Below are 19,835 nucleotides of genomic sequence, written 5' to 3' on the forward strand. Positions count from 1 at the left end.
AGTTTTTTTTTAAGCCTTTTTTCTACAATTAGAATGTAAACTTTGAGAGAGCAGAATTTATGTCTCTTCTTGGTTATCATAAACTCCTCAAAGCTTGACACTTAAAAGACAATAAATATTTGTCAAATAATTAAATGGACTGTGATTTCCTTCTTTTTTTTTTTTTTTTTTTTTAAGACAGAGTCTGACTCTGTCACCCAGACTGGAGTGCAGTGGCTTGATCTTGGCTCACTGCAAACTCCACTTCCCGGGTTCAAGCAGTTCTCCTGCCTCAGCCTCCCGAGTAGCTGGAACTACAGGCACCCACCACTGCACCCAGCTAATTTTTGTATTTTTAGAGACGGGGTTTCACCATGTTGGCCAGGATGGTCTCGAGCTCCTGACCTTGTGATCTGCCCGCCTCAGCCTCCCAAAGTTCTGGGATTACAGGCTTGAGCCACTGTACCCGGCCCATTTCCTTCTTAATAACATAATTAATAGCGATAAATACTTAAAGATTACTTATTTTTGTACAAGGCACTGTGCTAGAAATGGGTGGGAGGGAACATAAAAAACCATATAAGATTGTTCAGCCCTAGGAGGTCACAAAACTTCCTTCAACAAACATTGATTGAGTGCCAAAATGAAGACAGTGGCTTAGTAAAGTGCACAAGCAAGGATGGACTGTGGGCCAAGACAGACTTCAGGGAATAAGCCAGCTATCACATGTAGCCGAGGATTGAAAATCTGCACATTTCTTGTTTAATTATATTTAGAGACAGATGGAAATTATGCAGCAGTAGAAGTTCTACTTATCCTCTTACACTTAGAACTAATTATGTTATCATATGCCATGTTATTGCCAATGCAATACACAATGATGTTAAATAATTGATTAAGATGATGAAGATGAACTCCATTTTATTGAACATCTTTATGAGTGAGACCTTCTGCTGACTGTCAGCAGTTAGCACCATGAGAGAATTTCAGAGGAGGATACTGTCCCACCCCATGTCTAGTATTTCTGGAGAAGTGGCTGGAGAGTGTATTTCACTTACATGCTAAGAACAGAGCAGCGCTAAAAGAGAATAGCCAGCTTAAATGCAATCCTCCCTACAGGGAAGGAGATGAATTAGAAATAATCTCTCTTGTTCTTTGCTCTCAGAGGTCAAATTTTTTTTTTTAAAAAAAGAAAGAAATAATCTCTCCAAGAGTTTCCTTAATGTATGGTTTTAAAACTCCCAAGTTAATGATAGTTAACTATTTTTTTGAACACGTATGTGTAATTTGATTTCTCATGACATTTCTATGAGTGGAAATTTTAAATGTGGGCTCTAGAGTACGGGGTAGACGCCTGCTGGAGACCTGCACATTTGACTCCCTGGCTGTTTTAATAAAGTTTTGTTGGCACATAATCCACAGCCATTCGTTTACATATAGTCTGTGGCTGCATTTATGGGGACGGTGGCAGAGTTGAGTTAAGTAGCAGCAGAGATGATACGGCCTATGAAATCTAAAGTGTTTACTGTCTGGACCTTTACTGCAAACATTTGCCAACCTCTGCTCTAAAGTCAGATTTCCTGGGTTTGAGCCCTAGCTCTTCAGCTGTGTAGCTGTGTGACACATTGGTAAACTAACTATTTAAAATCCTGATTCCTCATTATCGTCACCTGCAAAATGAGACTAGTAATAATTATCGCTATCTCAAAGCATCACTGTGAGGAATAAATGAGATAGCCAAGGGCTTAGAATGAAGCTAAGTAAGGGTGTGATCAGTGTTAGCTATTAGTGCCCCCTTTTAATTTTTTTATTATTTATTTATTTACTTATTTTTATTCATTTATTTTTTGAGATGGAGTCTCACTCTGTCACCCAGGTTGGAGTGCAGTGGCACCATCTCAGCTCACTGCAATCTCCGCCTCCTGGGTTCAAGCGAATCCTGCCTCAGCCTCTCGAGTAGCTGGGACTATAGACAAGTGCCGCCATGCCCGGGTAATTTTTTTGTATCTTTAGTACAGACAGGGTTTTGCCATGTTGGCCAGGCTGGTCTCGACCTCCTGACCTCAGGTGATCCGCCCACCTCAGCCTCCCAAAGTGCTGAAATTATGTGGTGGCTCACGCCTGGCCATACTGCCCCTTTTTAAAGATCAGGAGATTGAGGGTATCAAATAACTTGACCCAACTTACAGAATTGAAATGTAGGTCAATCTGATGACAAAGCCAAAGCTCTTTCTACCATGATACTCATTCTTTGCTACTTACTTACTTACAGCAGGTTTAGCAATAGCCAGTGTTAACAGGATAAGACCACGATTGGTGAGAAATGGACATTGGCTGATAGAGTGGAAGGAATTTCCAGTACAGACACATGGTAAAGTTGTTGGGAAATCATTACTTTCTACCATCCCCATCGCTTCCCCTCTGCACTCTCCCCACCACTCTTCTAAGCTTTCAAAGAGTTCTGCAAACTGTCCCATAGCCTATTTCTGGCTCTTTGTAAAGGAGTTAACATATTCAAACTATGTTTTTAGACTTAAAAACCTATGGAATTAAATTCTTAAATGGAAATGTTGAAGGACTAGAATTCACGTAATCGCAATGTTCAAGTGAGAACATGGGACTGTGATGAGGCAGTGATTCCACGCCCAGGCTCTGGAGCCAGACTGCCTCGCTTCCTATCTCTTGACTGTACTACTTGAAAAACAAATGCCATCACACAAGTCACTTTCTCTCCTTGAGCCTCAGCTTCACCATCTATAAAATGGTGATAATATTATCATTAACATTGTTGGGAGGATTAAAAAGTACCTGGCTGGTTGGGCGTGGTGGCTGAAGCCTATAATCCCAGCACTTTGGGAGGCTGAGGTGAGAAGCTTGCTTGAGCTCAGGAGTTCCAGACCAGTCTGGGCAACATAGTGAGACCCTGTCTCTACAAAAAATACAAAAATTAGCCAGGTGTGGTGGCTCCAGCTACTCAGGAGGCGGAGGTGGGAGGATTGCTTCAGCCTAGGAGGTTAAGGCTGCAATGAGCCGTGATTGCATCACTGCACTCCGGTCTGAGCAACAGAGGGTAACCCTGCCTCATAGCAAACAAACAAAAAGAAACAAAAAAGAAAAAAGTACCTGGCTACAGTAAATGCTCAAGGCCCTTTGTTATTATTTCAGATGGTCAAGAATAAATGTTTTTCAAGGATCTTCTTTTTGTAGACAACTGTGTAGTCACAGTTTAGAGTCGTTAATTATCTGCCTGGCAAGATACTTTTTAAAATTAAAATGTAAAGAACCTGAGGGGATTCACTCCCAAATGTTTATGGACAAACTGAAAGGGCATTTACACAGATATTACCTTCTACATTTATGTGAGAAAGTGCTTTAAGACACTGTACATGTGAAATGTGTAGTTATAATGGCTACTACTATGTTCTCTTTTATATTTTCTAATTATGTAAGTATTATGTTCTTTTTATCACTACTTTGTATTCCTGCACGGGAGCTTTGTGCCTACCCATTGAATGTAGTAGGCCCTAAATATTGCCTGTTAACTAATTATGGTGTCATATACCATGTTAAAATTAAAATATTACAATTACTGAAGCAGGTTTAAGAGAGAAACCCGGGCATAATATTCTTAGAAAAACTTTATGTGCCAGAAGTTGAATATATGAACTGGTAGTTTGATGCATGATTACTTTTTAATTATAAAAGTCATCTTTAATTGCAAAAAATTCATAATAGTGTTCTTTTAGATAGGAAATTTCCTGTGTTGTTAAGAATATGATTCAAGTTACTGAGAATTTATAGATATATATTTCCTGTACATACTATTCCTATATATCTATATATACCAACAATACTATACAAAAGTATTAGTCCCATTTTCTTTTTTTTTTTTCTTTTCTTTTTTCTTTTTTTTTTTTTTTTGAGACAAGGGCTCTGTCACCCAGGCTGGGGTGCAGTGGCATGATCACGGCTCACTGCAGCCTCAACTTCTCAGGCTCAAGCAATCCTCCTACCTCGACCTCTCAGGCTCAAGGGATCCTCTCACCTCAGCCTCTCAAGTTGCTGGGACTACAGGTCCTCACCACCACGCCTGGCTAATTTTTTATTTTTTTGTAGAGATGAGGTCTCACCACGTTGCCTAAAGTTGTTCTCAAACTCCTGGGCTCAAGCAATCCTCCTGCCTCGGCCTCCCAAAGTGCTGGGATTAAAGGCGTGAGCCAACACGCCCGGCCAGCCTCATTTTCTTGATGGAGAAACTGAGAAGGAGGGCGATCATGTGCTTACTTCAAAATCACAATTAGATAATGGCAAATTTGTGATTGTAATTTTATAAAGATGCCTTATCTTTGGGGTGATACTTTATAATTTAACTTCTTTTTGGCAGTAGAGTTGTTTTATATCCAAAACCAAACCAAACCCAGAGAGTCCAAATATAAAAGATAGAATTTTAAAAAATTTTAAAATTTGTGGGGGTCGGGCGTGGTGGCTCACGCCTGTAATCCCAGCACTTTTGGAGGCCAAGTGGAGCGGATCACCTGAGATCAGGAGTTCAAGACCAGCCTGGCCAACATGGTGAAATCCCATCTCTACTAAAAAATACAAAAATTAGCCGGGCGTGGTGGCCTGGTGCCTGTAATCCCAACTACTTGGGAGGCTGAGACAGGGAGAATCACTTGAACCCAGGAGGCAGAGATTGCAGTGAGCCAAGATAGTGCCACTGCACTCCAGCCTGGGTGACAGAGTGAGACTCCATCTCAAAAAAAAAAAAAAAACAAAAAAAAGGCATTTTAAAATTTGTGTGTAAAAGGCTGTTTACTCAGGGTGGAATGTAGTGACACGATCTCAGCTCACTGCAACCTCCACCTCCCAGGTTCAAGTGATTTTCGTGCCTCAGCCTGGGATTACAGGTGCATACCACCACGCCCAGCTAATTTTTTTTTGTATTTTTAGTACAGACAGGGTTTCACCATGCTGGCCAGGCTGGTCTTGAACTCCTAACGTCAAGTGATCCACTGGCCTTAGCCTCCCAAAGTGCTGGGATTAGAGGCATGAGTCACTGTGCCCAGCCAAGGGTATTTTTCATTCGTTAAACTTCTTAAATTTTACTATCACATTGGGGATTAAGTTTAAAAAAATTTTCTTAAATTTATGCTCAAACAGATTTAGAAAGTGAACTTTTTGCTGGGTGTGCTGTCCTAGCACTTTGGGAAGCTGAGGTAGGTGGATCACCTGAGCCTTGGAGTTTGAGACCAACCTGGGCAACATAATGAGACCCCACCTCTAATAAAGTCAAATAAAATTAAATAAAACAAAATAAAACAAAATGAAAGTGAACGTTCCCAAACATAAACTTACAGTCATTATAATGGTGTGTGAATGCTAGTCTTCTCCTCCTAATTTGAAACTATATTAGTAGTTTGCAAGTAGTAGTTATATAGTAACAGTATGGTCTATTATTACTGTGTTATATTACACATGAATACATGTACAATATGCACCTTCTGGTGGTATGTCAAATAGTAGTATACAAAAATAACATAGGTCTTTTTGTAAAACAAATGACAAATTGCCTGTCCTGAAACAAAGGCTCTGAAACAGACTGACATAGTCAAACATTAGCTTCAGTTTTAGGTGTGACCTTCTGCTTTTATTTGGTGAACATTAGTCATTTCAGTTGCAACTAGGAAACAATATCTGCTACTATAGAAAAAAACAGATCCTGATTATGTTGATGTCATGTTCATTGACCAGTTATCTCAAGGCAATAATTATAGTAGAATAGCATTCGCCCAGGAATACTCTCAACATTGAAAAAGTCATGAGTTAAAATACTTTCTTCTATAAATGTTTAAGTTTAATGTGGGGTATTTTGGAAGCTAAAAATATTTTCAAAATCAACTATATTTATGACAATATGACCATAGTAGGCTGTTTATGAGAAAATATAAAAAAGGAAGTGAACTTTCTGGTGGGGGATCACTTAAAGACAAAATGCATTAAATACAACTTTAATCCAGAAAATATGTGTTCTTTTTATTCATTGCATTGTTTCAATGTTGTTCCACCTTTCCAGCTCTGGTGATAATTGTTTTTTTTTCCCCCTTTTCTTTTCTTCCTTTTTTGGGTACACAGTGAAAAACAAAAAAAGATAGCTTAAAAAACAGGTCCTTCTGCAAACATACGGCGAAGGTTAAACTCTAATACCCCATGGCTTGTTTACTTTAAAAATTTGGAAAAGTAAGCACCATGAGTTCATTGATATGAGTAGGAACCTGCGTCATCCTGTGGTATTTGTGAATATTGTGGGCTCTTTTATCAATTTCATTTGTTTCTAAGTCTTTCCAAAGAACTCTATTAGAAATGAGACCATCTGAGACAGGTCCTTTAACACAGAAAAAGTAAAATTCGCCTTCTATTATGAAGTGATTTTAGATATTAAAGGCTCTTTCCACTTCTTTATGCATTGTTTGAAATGTCTTAGAAAAGTTAAAACAATAGTGTTTATAGTTTATTTTATTAGCTACACTTGAAGCATCTCAAAGGCAGTGATGCTTATTTTATCCCCAGTGCCTGGCACTGAATGAATGTTTGAATAAAAGAATGAATGGATAGAAGAATGAATGAATGTGCACTGTCTTTTGCAAGAAACATGGTAGGACAAAGCTACAAAAAGAGTTTCCTTTTATAACTAACATCCACCAAATTGCTTTGGACATTTTTTTCACGTATCTATTTACTAAGTTTTGTGGGAGAGCCGTGCATGGGGGTGCATGCCTGAAATCCCAGCTACTGGGGAGGGTGAGGTGGGAGGATTGCTTGAGCCTAGGAGTTCAAGGCTGCATTGAGCTATGATTGTGCCACTGCACTCCAGCCTGGGCAACAGAGCAAGACCCTATCTCTAAAAAAAATTAATAATAAAAATAATTTAAAAAAACTTTTGTGGTTTACCTGCATATAGAACTGGGTACAAATAGTCATACCCAGGTACTATCTGGTGGTATTTCTGCATGGCCGAAAGGAGCCCATCAGAGAATGAATAGGCCAGCTTTGGTACAGGAGTTGGCATTTCTTTCTTTCTTCTTTCTTTTTTTGAGACAGAGTTTCATTCTTGTTGCTAAGGCTGGTGTGCAATAGTGTAATGGCGCTATCTTGGCTCACCACAGCCTCTGCCTCCGCCTCCCAGGTTCAAGCAATTCTCCTGCCTCAGCCTCCCGGGTAGCTGGGATTATAGGCATGTGCCACCATGCCTATAGCTAATTTTGTATTTTTAGTAGAGACGGGGTTTCACCACGTTGGTCAGGCTGGTCTCAAATTCCCAACCTCAGGTGATCCACCCGCCTCGGCCTCTCAAAGTGCTGGGATTACAGGCCTGAGCCACCACGCCTGGCCAGGAGCTGGCATTTCTAACACATGCCCAGGCATCAGGAATGTCACATGGAAAAGCCACACCAACCCCTAATGGATTATATTGAATGCCAATGTTAATATCCCTTGAGCCGTCTTGGTAAAGTAGGTACTGGCCAGGGAGCTATAAAATTTCCATCACTGTTTTTTTTTTTTTTCTTTTTTCTTTTGGCCTTAACTGATATGCTTAGCTTCTGCTATACTGTCTCAGGAATTCGGTAGAGATTTTATGCCACAAGGAAATAGGCACATAAATGAGGCCTGCCCATGAAGGCAGTTTTTAATCACTCTTTTATCTGAAGGTATTTTGAGAGGCTGCTTATTACAGTGCTTGAGCTCGAGCTCCTGCATGCCAGAGCTCAACCGCTTGAGTTCAATACCATTTATTAACTGTGTGACTTCAGGTGAGTGACTTACTCTCCCAAGCTTCAGTTCACTCAACTGGAAAATGGGAATAGACCGGGTGTGGTGGCTCACGCCTGTAATCCCAGCTACTTGGGAGGCTGAGGCAGGACAATTGCTTGAACCAGGAAGGTGAAGGTTGCAGTGAGGTGAGATTGTGCCACTGCACTCCAGAGAGGCTGAGGCAGGTGGATCACCTGAGGTCAGGAGTCCAGGACCAGCCTGGCCCACATAGCAAAACCCCATCTCTACTAAAAATACAAAAGTTAGTCAGGCATGGTGGCAGGCGCCTGTAGTCCCAGCTACTCGGGACGCTGAGGCAGGACAATCTCTTGAACCCCAGAGGCAGGTGTTGCAGTGAGCCAAGATCGCACCACTGCACTCCAGCCTGGGTGACAGAGTTAAGACTCTGTCTCAAAAAAAAAAAAAAAAAAAAAGATACTTATTAAAAGAAGAAGGAAGAGAAGGAAAATCAGTTTTCCCAGTCTCTATAATTAAACTAGGCAGTTAGAGACAATTGGAAATTCTTACAAATTTAAATAAAAAGCACAACTACATTAATTAAAGAAACTCAAGAAATATGCACTTAAATTAAGAATGGAAATGAACAGAAAATACATATCTAGAGTTTCACTGAACCTAGAGTATTTAAAATGAAAAATTCAGGTGTCAGGAAATTTATGATTTCCCAGGTCTACTAAACTCCTGGAACAATTGTTGGCATTTAATTGCTATTCATGTCTCGCGTACTCTGTACTTTCACTGAGTGCACTTGGAGTTAATATTTCAATTAAAAAACTAATACATCAGTAAAAACGCCCAGATTTGAGCTAATCATTTATTCTCAGGCTCACAGGGAAATACTGGATATTCTTCGAGTTAATAAAGTGTGAAATGATTTTAATTATTCAAGGGAAATATAGTATACCAGTCTTGCAAATGGTTTTTTTAGACAGCATGGTCTGTCTTATCCCATCCTACATCAGAAAATTTAATTGGCTTAGTTATTTCCTCTTTCCCAAATCCCTTTTTATGGCAAAGAGAAAATGAGGACCTACAGCAGCCCACGTTGCTGAGGACCTAAACCAGTCCCTGTGAAAACCAAAACAGGGATGGGCTGGATTTCAGTTTGTTTCTCATAGGTTCCGAAGTCAGAGTTTTAAAAGATTTAACAGGCTGGGCACAGTGGCTCATGCCTGTAATCCCAGCACTTTGGAAGGCTGAGATGGGCGGATCACCTGAGGTCAGGAGTTCAAGACCAGCTATGGCTAACATGGAGAAACCCTGTCTGTACTAAAACAGAAATACAAAAATTAGTCGGGCATGGTGGCAGGCGCCTGTAATCCCAACTACTCGAGAGGCTGAGGTAGGAGAATCGCTTGAACCTGGGAGGCAGAGGTTGCAGTGAGCCAAGATCGCACCATTGTACTCCAGCCTGGGTGACAAGAGTGAAAACTCCGTCTCAAAAAAAAAAAAAAAAGATTTAACATTAATTTATTTGGAATTTGGACAGCCAACTGCCAATGTCAAGCATTCCAATGTTGAGAGCCTAATACAGAATCTTGTTCATGTGGGGAGACCTCTGAGACCCTGAGTTGCATTAGCATGGCACTACTGTCATCTCCAAGCCCGTCAGAGAACAGCGCCCGTCCAGTGCAGACATTTGAAGCTAGGCGAGGCGGGTTACACAGCCTGGGGAGTCTTTGTACTTTTCAATATTCTCCAAGGGAAGTCTAGACAGGCTTCACATTTTGTTAAGTACAGCTAGGTTCTGTCCACAATAAAACAGAACTAGGACAACTGTTTTGGAAACATAGTTAGCACATAATTGTAGCTAATTTAGTTTTTTTCTCTGAAGCAGCATGAAAAGAAATTTGTTTTTGTACAAAAGATGTTTTTATCTTCTATAGCCCACAATTCCCAACAACAGAGTGTCCTCTCTCCTTCCCTCTGCTGCAAATATATGCACCTACATAACACCCACATGCACGTTTTTTTCTAGCCTAAGCCACTATCTACCCCTGCTGTTCTCTTTTTGGGGATTTCTTCAAGCATATTTACAAAACACTTGCTGAGCCCAACTGCCGCCTCACTGCTGTATCCTAGTTACATGAGCCATCAGTTCCCCAAACGCTTGCTTTCACCTGTCTGTTGGGAAACCACCTAAGCCTATACGAGGAAGAAAAATCATTCAGAACAAATGTTGGCTTGAATACTCATGTCGTTTTCTTAACTGCTTGATACAGGCTTTCACCGAGATTTGGTGGGAATCAAAAGTACATCTTTAAAAGAATCCTGGCCTTTACCTTACACTATATATAAAAATAAACTCAAATAGATCAAAGACCTAAATGTAAGAGCTAAAACTATAAGACTTGGAAGAAAATACAGGGGCAAACTTTCATGATACTGGATTTGGCAATGATTTTTTGGACAACCCCAAAAGCACAGCAACAAAAGAAAAAATAGATAAAGTAAACTTAATCGAAATTAATAACTTTTGTGCACCAAAGGACACTGTCAAGAGAGTGAAAAGGCAACCCACAGTGTAGGAGAAAATATGTGCAAATCATGTCTGATAAGGAATTGATATTCAGAACATATAAAGAACTACAACTCAATAACAAAAAGCAAACAAGCTAATTTAAAAATGGTCAAAAAAGTTGAACAGATATTTTTCCAAGGAAGATATACATTATACATCCGCAAAGATATACATTATACATCTGCATTACACATCTGCAAAGACCCTTGAAAAAATAAAGAAGACACACAGATGCCCCTTAAGGACATGAGAAGATGCTCAACATCATTCATCATTAGGGAAATGCAAATCAAAGCCACCATGATATACCGCTTCACACTCACTGTGATGGCAATTATCAAAAAAACAAAACCACAAGTGTTGGTGAGAATGTGGAGAAACTGGAACCCTTGTGCACTGCTGGTGGGAATGTATAATGGTGCAGCTTCTGTGGGAAAAAGTATGGTGGTGCTTCAAAAATATAATCATAATAAACAGAAGTACCACATGAGCCAGCAGCTTCTCCTGATGCACAGTGCAAGAAATGAACATAAGTGGTAATAATAAATATTCAGTGAATGAATGTAGGCCTCACATATCTTTTTCCCATAGAGAGATTGAGGTTGGTAAGTAATAACAGATCTGGTGACACTGTCTTCTACTTTAGAGACCTGATATTGGCTAGAGGTGGGGTAGGTAAAGGGGAGGGAATAGGCTTTTATTAGGTTGGTGCAAAAGTGATTGCAGTTTTTGTCGTTACATTTAATGGCAAAAACTGCAATTACTTTTGCACCAACCTAAATATTTTTTGAGTATCTATAAAAATATTTCTGGTTTTAAAATCTTCCTAAATTGGTAATACAGTTTTTACATGTGCCCTGTGAAACGCACATTGCCATATATGATGCGTGGGGATAGGTGGGAAGGTGGGTAAAATTTGCTGTTTCTGAAAGAGTTGGACAATATCAAGAGCTTTACAGTGTTCATTAGTCAATTCTCATTAGCCCAATGATTCCATTTATAGACATGTATAATCAAATACCCAAGCAAAGATTTACATTCAAATCTGTTTACTGAAGTTCTATTTATAATACAATGCAATGAACATAATAGTATATATTTACACGTAATGTAATAAACACAAATATTCAATGGTATAAAAATGGTCAATAAATCGTGGCATAGCCACAGCTTAGAGTACCTGTTTAATGTTCTCAGCTATTTTAACTTTGCTAAATAATATTTAAAGATATGCGGTAGTCCCCCTTCATCTGAGGAGGACCTGTTCCAAGACCCCCAGTGGATGCCTGAAACCTCTGATAGTAATGAACCCTATATATACTGTTTTTTCCTATACATATTTACATATATAATACATACCTATGATTAAGTTTAATTTATAAATTAGGCACAGTAAGAGATTAACAACAACAATAATAAAATGTAACAATTATAGCAATACTCTAATAATAAAGTTATGTGAGTGTGGTCTCTCTCTCTGTCTCAAAATATCATACTGTATGCCTCTATTTTGGGAATACAGTTGACAACGGGTAACTGAAACCGAGAAAAGTGAAACTGCAGATGGGGGCTGACTACTGTATATGAAAATTAAACAATCAGCCAGGCATGGTGGCTCACGCCTGTAATACCAGCACTTTGGGAGGCCGAGGCGGGAGGATCACGAGGTCAGGAGATCGAGACCACGGTGAAACCCCGTCTCTATTAAAAATACAAAAAAAAAATTAGCCGGGTACAGTGGCAGGCACCTGTAGTCCCAGCTACTCGGGAGGCTGAGGCAGGAGAATGGCGTGAACCCGGGAGGCAGAGCTTGCAGTGAGCCGAGATCGCGCCACTGCACTCCAGCCTGGGCGACAGAGCAAGACTCTGTCTCAAAAAAAAAAAAAAAAAAAAAAAAAAGGAAAAGAAAATTAAACAACCAAACAAAATCAGAGTAAATACACCATGTTAATTCTGGTTATATTTGGATTGTGGGCTTATGGGTAGATTTTGTTACATTTTTCTATAATTTCCAGATTTCCTTCCATTAGTATACTTTTATAAGAAGAAAAAAATTACAATTAAAAAAATTTTGCTCTCTGAGTCCCTGAATTCAATGGACTAAATCCAAAACCCAGCCTAGGGAACATGAAGACAAAGTACCTATTTTCTCTCGCAGGGATTATTGGGCACATCAGTGTCGCTGGCAGCCCCTCCCTGACACACCAATATCTACTGCCTCCACCTTCTGGAGCTATGTGAGGGCTGGGGTCCAAGGTCAGGGTGAAGCTAATCTTTCTCCTATCTTCCCTTCCTAGCACACACAAGATTATCGTCCATAGAATAATCTCACTCACTAGATCCATAGAAAGATCTCAGCTCAGCGGGGCACTGTGCCTCATGCCTGTAATCCTAGCACATGGGAGGCCGAGGAGGGCAGATTGCCTGAGCTCAGAGGTTCAAGACCAGCCTGGGCAACACAGTGAAACCCTGTCTCTACTAAAAATACAAAAAAATTAGCTGGGCATGAAAATTAGCCGGGTGTGGTAGCGTGCACCTATAATCCCACCTACTCGGGAGGCTGAAGCAGGAGAATTGCTCGAACCCGGGAGGCGGCGGCTGCAGTGAGCCGAGATCGTGCCACTGCACTCTAGCCTGGTCGACAGAGCGACACTCCATCTCCAAAAAAAAAAAAAGAGAGATCTTGGCTCACTGCAACCTCTGCCTCCTTGGCTCAGTCCTACTTGGAGAAGATTAAATGGTTGTCAAAGTGCTTTTACATATGTTGTGGTTCTTTGGATCATCATGAATTGGGATGACAGTTATTTTTACCTCATATGACAGGCAAGGAAACAGAAACTTAGAGAAGGTATGAGGATTGATCAAAAATACAAGATACTATCACACTGAATCCTAGTCTAGTTTGTACCAAGAACCCAGCCTCGTGTCACACAATCAAAATACAGTCTGACTGAAACATAGTTGACTGGCTGGGTGCTGTGGCTCATGTCCGTAATCCCAGGACTTTGGGAGGCTGAGGTGGGTGAATCTCTTGAGGCCAGCAGTTTGAGAACTAGCCTGGCCAAAATGGTAAAACCTTGTCTCTAATAAAAATATAAAAATCAGCCAGATGTGGTGGTACACACCTGTAATCCCAGCTACTCGGGAGGCTGAGTCACGAGAATTGCTTGAACCTGGGAGGTGAAGGCTGCAGTGAGCTGAGATCGTGCCACTGCACTCCACCCTGGGTAACAGAGTGAGACTGTCTCAAAAAAAAAAAAAAAAAAAAGAAAGAAAGAAATACAGTTGACCTCTTTTTTGGGAGGTTAAGGGTCAGATTTATAAGCAACACATAGTTATATCTTGTCTCTTAAGTCACAAAGATGTAAAGTGTACAAAGACATAAAGGTTTATATTGAGGGTTCCAAATGACTTATCACGTTCTATATTCCACTAACGTTGCCACATGAACACACAACAGGTACACATTGTCTAAGTAGCAGGTATCTTGGTTGAAAGGAATGAAAACTTATGTTCTTGCTTAAGTGGAAGGGAAAAGGACCAGAGGAAGTATACTCACCAAAACCACTAATTTGATTTGTCTGGTCCTTTATAAGTCGCAGAACGAGAGTATACAGGCAAATTCAGGCAGCTTCCTTGGGATTCCTCTGTTCAATTTTTGCAGTGCCCTTTGAGGCAAATCCTAAGGGTTAAAAAAGAAATGGTTAGAAATATTTTCTATTTCAACATGATTTTCATATGTGCATTAGAAATTGGGGGGGGGGGGGCAGATCCTCTTGCGTAGTTCCTAAGCATAATAATTAGAAACTGGGGGGCCATTTTCTTCAAAAAATGAAATACCATTACTCTAATTATCATGTTCTCTATAAACCAAGTGCAACTGCTTATCTGATTCTTAAAGAAACAAGGAACAGTAATAATAAGAAAATGACTAATTTCTTCCATTTGTGTTTGTCTCTATGCCTTCTTCAGAGTGTGCATGACTTCAAGATGCACATAATGTTTAAGAAGGAATACAGATGTAGCCTATATTTTACACTTATAGACTCACAAAAAGAGGTAGTATCCTTTACAGAAATAATCATATCTAGCTCATGGACTTCCCAGCCAATTTGGGAGCTTATGCTACACATCACTAATAGATCTTCAAACTCTTCCTGCAGGGTCCAGAGAGGGTTCCCAAAACCATTGAAGCAAGTACTCCAGCTATCCACTACCAACCAGAGTTGGTATGAAAGAGACTTACTGTTCTGCCCCTAAAATGTAGAGGTAAGACTCTTTTTTTTTTTTGAGATGGAGTTTTGCTCTGTCGCCCAGGCTGGAGTGCAGTTGCGTAGTCTCGGCTCACTGCAAACGCCACCTCCCAGGTTCATGCGATTCTCCTGCCTCAGCCTCCCAAGTAGCTGAGATTACAGGTGCCCACCACCACGCCTGGCTAATTTTTGTATTTTTTAGTAGAGCTGGGGTTTCATCATGTTGGCCAGGCTGGTCTCAAACTCCTGACCTCAAGTGATCCACCCGACTCAGCCTCCCAAAGTGCCAGGATTACAGGTTTGAGCCACTGTACTCGGCAGAGTCAAGACTCTTTTGAGGATGTTCATCGCATGGAGAGGCCCATGAAAAATATGATTTGGGGGTTTAGAATAATCTTTAATAAGTAATGATATAGGAAATATTCACATGAAAAGAATTTAAAGTTCAAGATAAAGATATTTCAGATGAGGAATTAAAATATATCTTAAGCACAAAACTTTTATTTTTATTTCAATGTGTGGAAATATAATCTGCCTGATTTTCCAAACTACAGAGAGCCCCCATCAAGCCAACTGAAGCTCCAAATAACTTATACAAGATTCAATATGGCACAGTGGTTTCAACACCAGACTGGGAACCAGAAGGCTAGTTTTAAGGCTATCTCTGTCATGCCCAGTTCATTTCACCTGTCTGAGCCAAAGTTTACTCCCATGGAAAAAAAATAATAAAGGAGGCCAGGTGTGGTGGCTCATGCCTGTAATCCTAGCACTTTGGGAGGTCAAGATGAGTGGATCACTTGAGATCAAGAGTTCAAGACCAGCCTGGCCAACATGGTGAAACCCTGTTACCGCTAAAAATACAAAAAATTAGCTGGGTGCAGTGGTAGGCGCCTGTAATCCCAGCTACTCAGGAGGCTGAGGCAGGAGAATCACTTGAACCTGGGATGCGGAGGCTGCAGTGAGCTGAGATTGTGCCACTGCACTCCAGCCTGGGCGACAGAGCAAGACTGTCTCAAAAAAGTTAAATAAATAAAAATAAGAATAAAGGAGTTGGATTACCAATAGTTCTCAACATTAAAAAAAAATTGTGTTTGTTTTTTCTTTGTGTTTTAGTTGTAGCACACTTTTTTCCACCAAAAATCTAACTAGTTGCAGAAACAACACCAATAAAACAGTTGCTGGTTGAAGTATAGGTAGGGGATGTTGTCGGGAGGTGCCCCCACTTCCATCATTCATTGTGTCCCTGTGGAGACACCGTAAGACCTTTAGGACTCCATAGAGCACAGTTGGAAACCTTCTGGATTAAATGGCCTTTAATATAACTTATAGCTCAAAATTATTCTGCCATAACTATCTTTATATTGGAATGACTGGGTGCTCAGTGAGATCCATAACGTTATGGGAACACAGCAATAATACTTTACCATGATCTAGTTTTAATCTTGTTAACAATGATCTCCTGAAAGAAAAAAAGCCACACCCTCAAATAAATTACAGAGCAATAGCTGTTAAAATGATTTACGTTTTAATACACATAATCTTTACCCAACTCTGTGAAAAGATAATTCCTGAAATGCTGCATCCTGGATAATACCTAGTAATCAAGATCATAGTGGTTGATAAAAACTACGAAAACGAATGTACAAAGTACAAGAAGGTGTGTCTTGAAATTAATTGTACACTGTCTGGACAATAGACTCCTGCATCTCTCATCTACTAGCTAAGTAAATCCAGACAAGTATATTCAACTTTCCTGAGCCTCAGTTTCCACCTCCATAAAGCAGAAATCATTCCTGGCAGGACTGTTGTGGAGAACAGAGAAAATATTTATAAAGCACCATTCTCGACATATATTATTTGTGCAGAATTTTGAGTTTTCACTCTTTCTGTAATGGTAAAATGTCTCCCTTTAAAATGTAATACCAAGGTAATGAACATGTAAACTCTAAGAATTGAAAGCAAATTATTAATATATAAATGAAACACAGAATTCACGTAGTTTTGTGCTACATCATAAAAAGGGAAAGAAGGATCACAGATGTGCCTTTCACGGCTATTCAAGTAACACAGGACATTTCCCCAAAATGAAACACTTAGGGTCAATGTTTGTTTCCAGAAAAATCTGACTTTCCAGAATAACTCCAAACACAATCCATTCCATAATTTTTTTTTTTTTTTTTTGAGATGGCGTCTCACTCCATCCCCCAGGCTGGAGTGCAGTAGCCTGATCTCGGCTCACTGCAACCTCTGCCTCCTGGGTTCAAGCGATTCTCCTGTCTCAGCCTCCTGAGTAGCTGGGACTACAGGTGTGCGTCACCATGCCTGGCTAATTTTGGGAGGCCGAGGCCAGCAGATCAAATGAAATAGATTGTGTTTGGAGTTATTCTGGAAAGTCAGATTTTTCTGGAAACAAACATTGACCCTAAGTGTTTCATTTTGGGGAAATGTCCTGTGTTACTTGAATAGCCATGAAAGGCACATCTGTGATCCTTCTTTCCCTTTTTATGATGTAGCACAAAACTACGTGAGACATTTTGTATTTTTAGTAGAGATGGGGTTTTGCCATGTTGGCCAGGCTGGTCTCTAACTCTTAACCTCAAGCGATCTGCTGGCCTCGGCCTCCCAAAGTGCTGGGGTTACAGGCGTGAGCCACCATGTGCGGCCAGAATATTTAATATTGTTATGTTTGCCATAAAAATCTTCAAGCAAAACCTATATGTTATGTTTGTCCTGTGGCTTCACATTCCTCCTGACACAATATTGGATACTCCAGAGAACCCAGTTTGAGAAGGTTAGTTCCAGTCCAAACCTTTGATTTTACTATGGAGGAAACTGTCTTACCAAAGGTCACACAGTAGGTAGGAAACATAGTAATAAGATTTGTGGGGCAGTTTCTGGAGAAACGGGGTGGTTTCCAGACATTAATGGCGTTAATTCATTCCAGCTCCCCCCGCCCCCCAGCCTGGTACCCTGAAATTGCATAGACATCACTCACCCCATCATGGAGTCTTTATAAAGACCAAATGGGGAAAAGTTTATAGATTCCAGTAGGAGGAAAGCTATACTGACAGAACAACTGGTTTGTTTTAATGTTTTGGGGCATGTGAATCTCACAGCCGCTCATGACTCCGTCTTCAACACATGGGGGGACTTGAGGGCAAGCATTTATTGGATGCTTCTGGCATCATCTTAGTTTGCCTATCTTGATTTTTTTGCCCCCTCTTCTATTTGTGTCTTGACGTGTCGTATGTAGTTTTGAAAGCTGTTTCAAGTCCATTTTTGGAATGAAGCATAGCATACATAAAACACTTGAAATTAATACATTTATTTTTCGGAAAAAGATGCTCCAGTCTAATATCAAGTCATGTCCTGTTCTACTTCTCTCAGTCATAAAGCTAAGCTAAAAATAACTTTCTCACCACAACCCTCCACCAAGGAATGATAATTCCATTTCTTAAAAACAGATCCTTTCTTTTCTTTATTTTTTTAAGAGGCAGAGTCTCGCTCTGTTGCCTAGGCTGGAGTGCAGTGGCGTGATCTTGAATCGCTGCAGCCTCTGCTTCCCGGGTTCAAGTGATTCTCCTGCCTCAGCCTCCCACGTAGCTGGGATTACAGGTGCACACCACCACACCTGGCTAATTTTTGTATTTTTAGTAGAGGCAGGGTTTCAGCATGTTGGCCAGGCTGGTCCTGAACGCCTGACCTCAAGTGATCTGCCCACTTTGGCCTCCCAAAGTGCTGGGATTACAGGCGTGAGCCACCGCGTCTCGCCAGAACCTTTCTTAAGATAAACCAATTGCCCTCACCCAAGGATGCTAGTACATGGGGTCCTAAAGCTGCCAGGAGACCACCAGGTTGAGAGTCAAATAACTAAGTTCTAGTTCTCGCTTTGCCACCTGAACAGTTTGACCATGGCATGCTACACAACTTTCTGAGCCTCAGGTTGTTACCCGTACACTGAAAGATCACCATTATAAGGATTACACAAGACACAACATTTGAAAGCATCTCCTAAACTAACCATTAGCTCCTGCCTGGACTTCTACAGTAGACTCCCAGCTGGCTTCTCCCTATCCACTCAGGCCTGCTGCAATCAATCTAGGTCTCCTTACAGGCAAAGGGACCGTTTAAAAAATATACAATTTGGTCAGGCGCAGTGGCTCACGCCTGTAATCCCAGCACTTTGGGAGGCCAAGGTAGACAGATCACCTGAGGTCAGGAGTTCGAGACCAGCCTGGCCAACCTGGTGAAACCCCATCTCTACTAAAAATACAAAATTAGCCGGGTGTGGTGGCACACACCTGTAATCCTAGCTACTCAGGAAGCTGAGACAGAATTGCTTGAATCCGGGAGGTGGAGGCTGCAGTAAGCCGAGATCGTGCCAGGCACTCCAGCCTGGGTGACAAGAGCAAAACTCCACCTCAAAAAAAAAAAAAAAGGAAGCGTTTTATCACCCTTCTGCTTAAACCCCTACACTCTCCTCCCATTGCCCTTAGACTAAGTTTGTATCCTTTGTAAGGCTTGTAAGGCCTATAAAGAGGCTCCACGTCCTCCTCCAGCCTCATCTTGTGTTACTTCCCCCTTACACATGCTGTTCCAATATTTCAGCCCTCACCAATTCCCATCTAGCCAGCTTGCACTCATCCCGAACTTCATTCCTTCTACAAAGCTATTCCTGCAGCCCCCTGTGATATGCTCCCCCAACATCATATAATCCTTCATATAGCACTAGGTTGAACCATATGAAATTGCTATTTTATAGGACAAAAACAGTAGACTGTTGACAATTTTCTTTGGTTTAGCCTTATAGTAATTGCTGTAATGCTAGTCATCTTGAGTCAGTTTTAAACTCTACCAGGGAAGAATCTAGATCTGACTCATAACTAGAATCCTAGAGTTCCACACCCAATCCAAGCCAATAGTAGGCACTTAATTTTTTAATTAGTCTGAGATGTTGTTACTACCTTTTTAATGCCAAGCATATAAATTTTATATCGTCATTAATAGTTAAAAATAGTTTTTTGTCGGGTGCGGTGGCTCATGCCTGTAATTTCAGCACTTTAGGAGGCCAAGGTGGGTGGATCACCTGAGGTCAGGAGTTTGAGACCAGCCTGACCAACATGGTGAAACCCCGTCTCTGCTAAATACAAAAAATTAGCCAGGCATGGTGGCGCATACCTGTAATCTCAGCTAAGGCAGGAGAATCACTTAAACCTGGGAGGTGGAGGTTGCAGTAAGCTGAGATCACGCCA

The 19,835-nt window shown here is 40.7% G+C and overlaps 1 protein-coding gene across 40 annotated transcripts in view; it reads right to left on the reverse strand.

Moving 5' to 3' along the window:
• The window catches only part of RBM47 (RNA binding motif protein 47), a 207,573-nt gene that overhangs the window by 29,408 nt on the left and 158,330 nt on the right, over positions 1 to 19,835 (reverse strand). For 39 of the 40 annotated variants that reach the window (XM_017008310.3, XM_017008309.3, XM_005248103.5 and 36 more), the window contains one exon: positions 13,890 to 14,012. The exons of the other annotated variant lie outside the window; for it this stretch is intronic. The gene's annotated coding sequence lies outside the window, so the exon portion shown is untranslated. The remainder of the gene's footprint in view (positions 1 to 13,889; positions 14,013 to 19,835) is intronic. 40 annotated transcript variants of the gene reach the window in all.

The sequence above is a fragment of the Homo sapiens genome, chromosome 4, assembly GCF_000001405.40.
Source record: "Homo sapiens chromosome 4, GRCh38.p14 Primary Assembly".
Classification (NCBI taxonomy): Eukaryota; Metazoa; Chordata; class Mammalia; order Primates; family Hominidae; genus Homo; species Homo sapiens.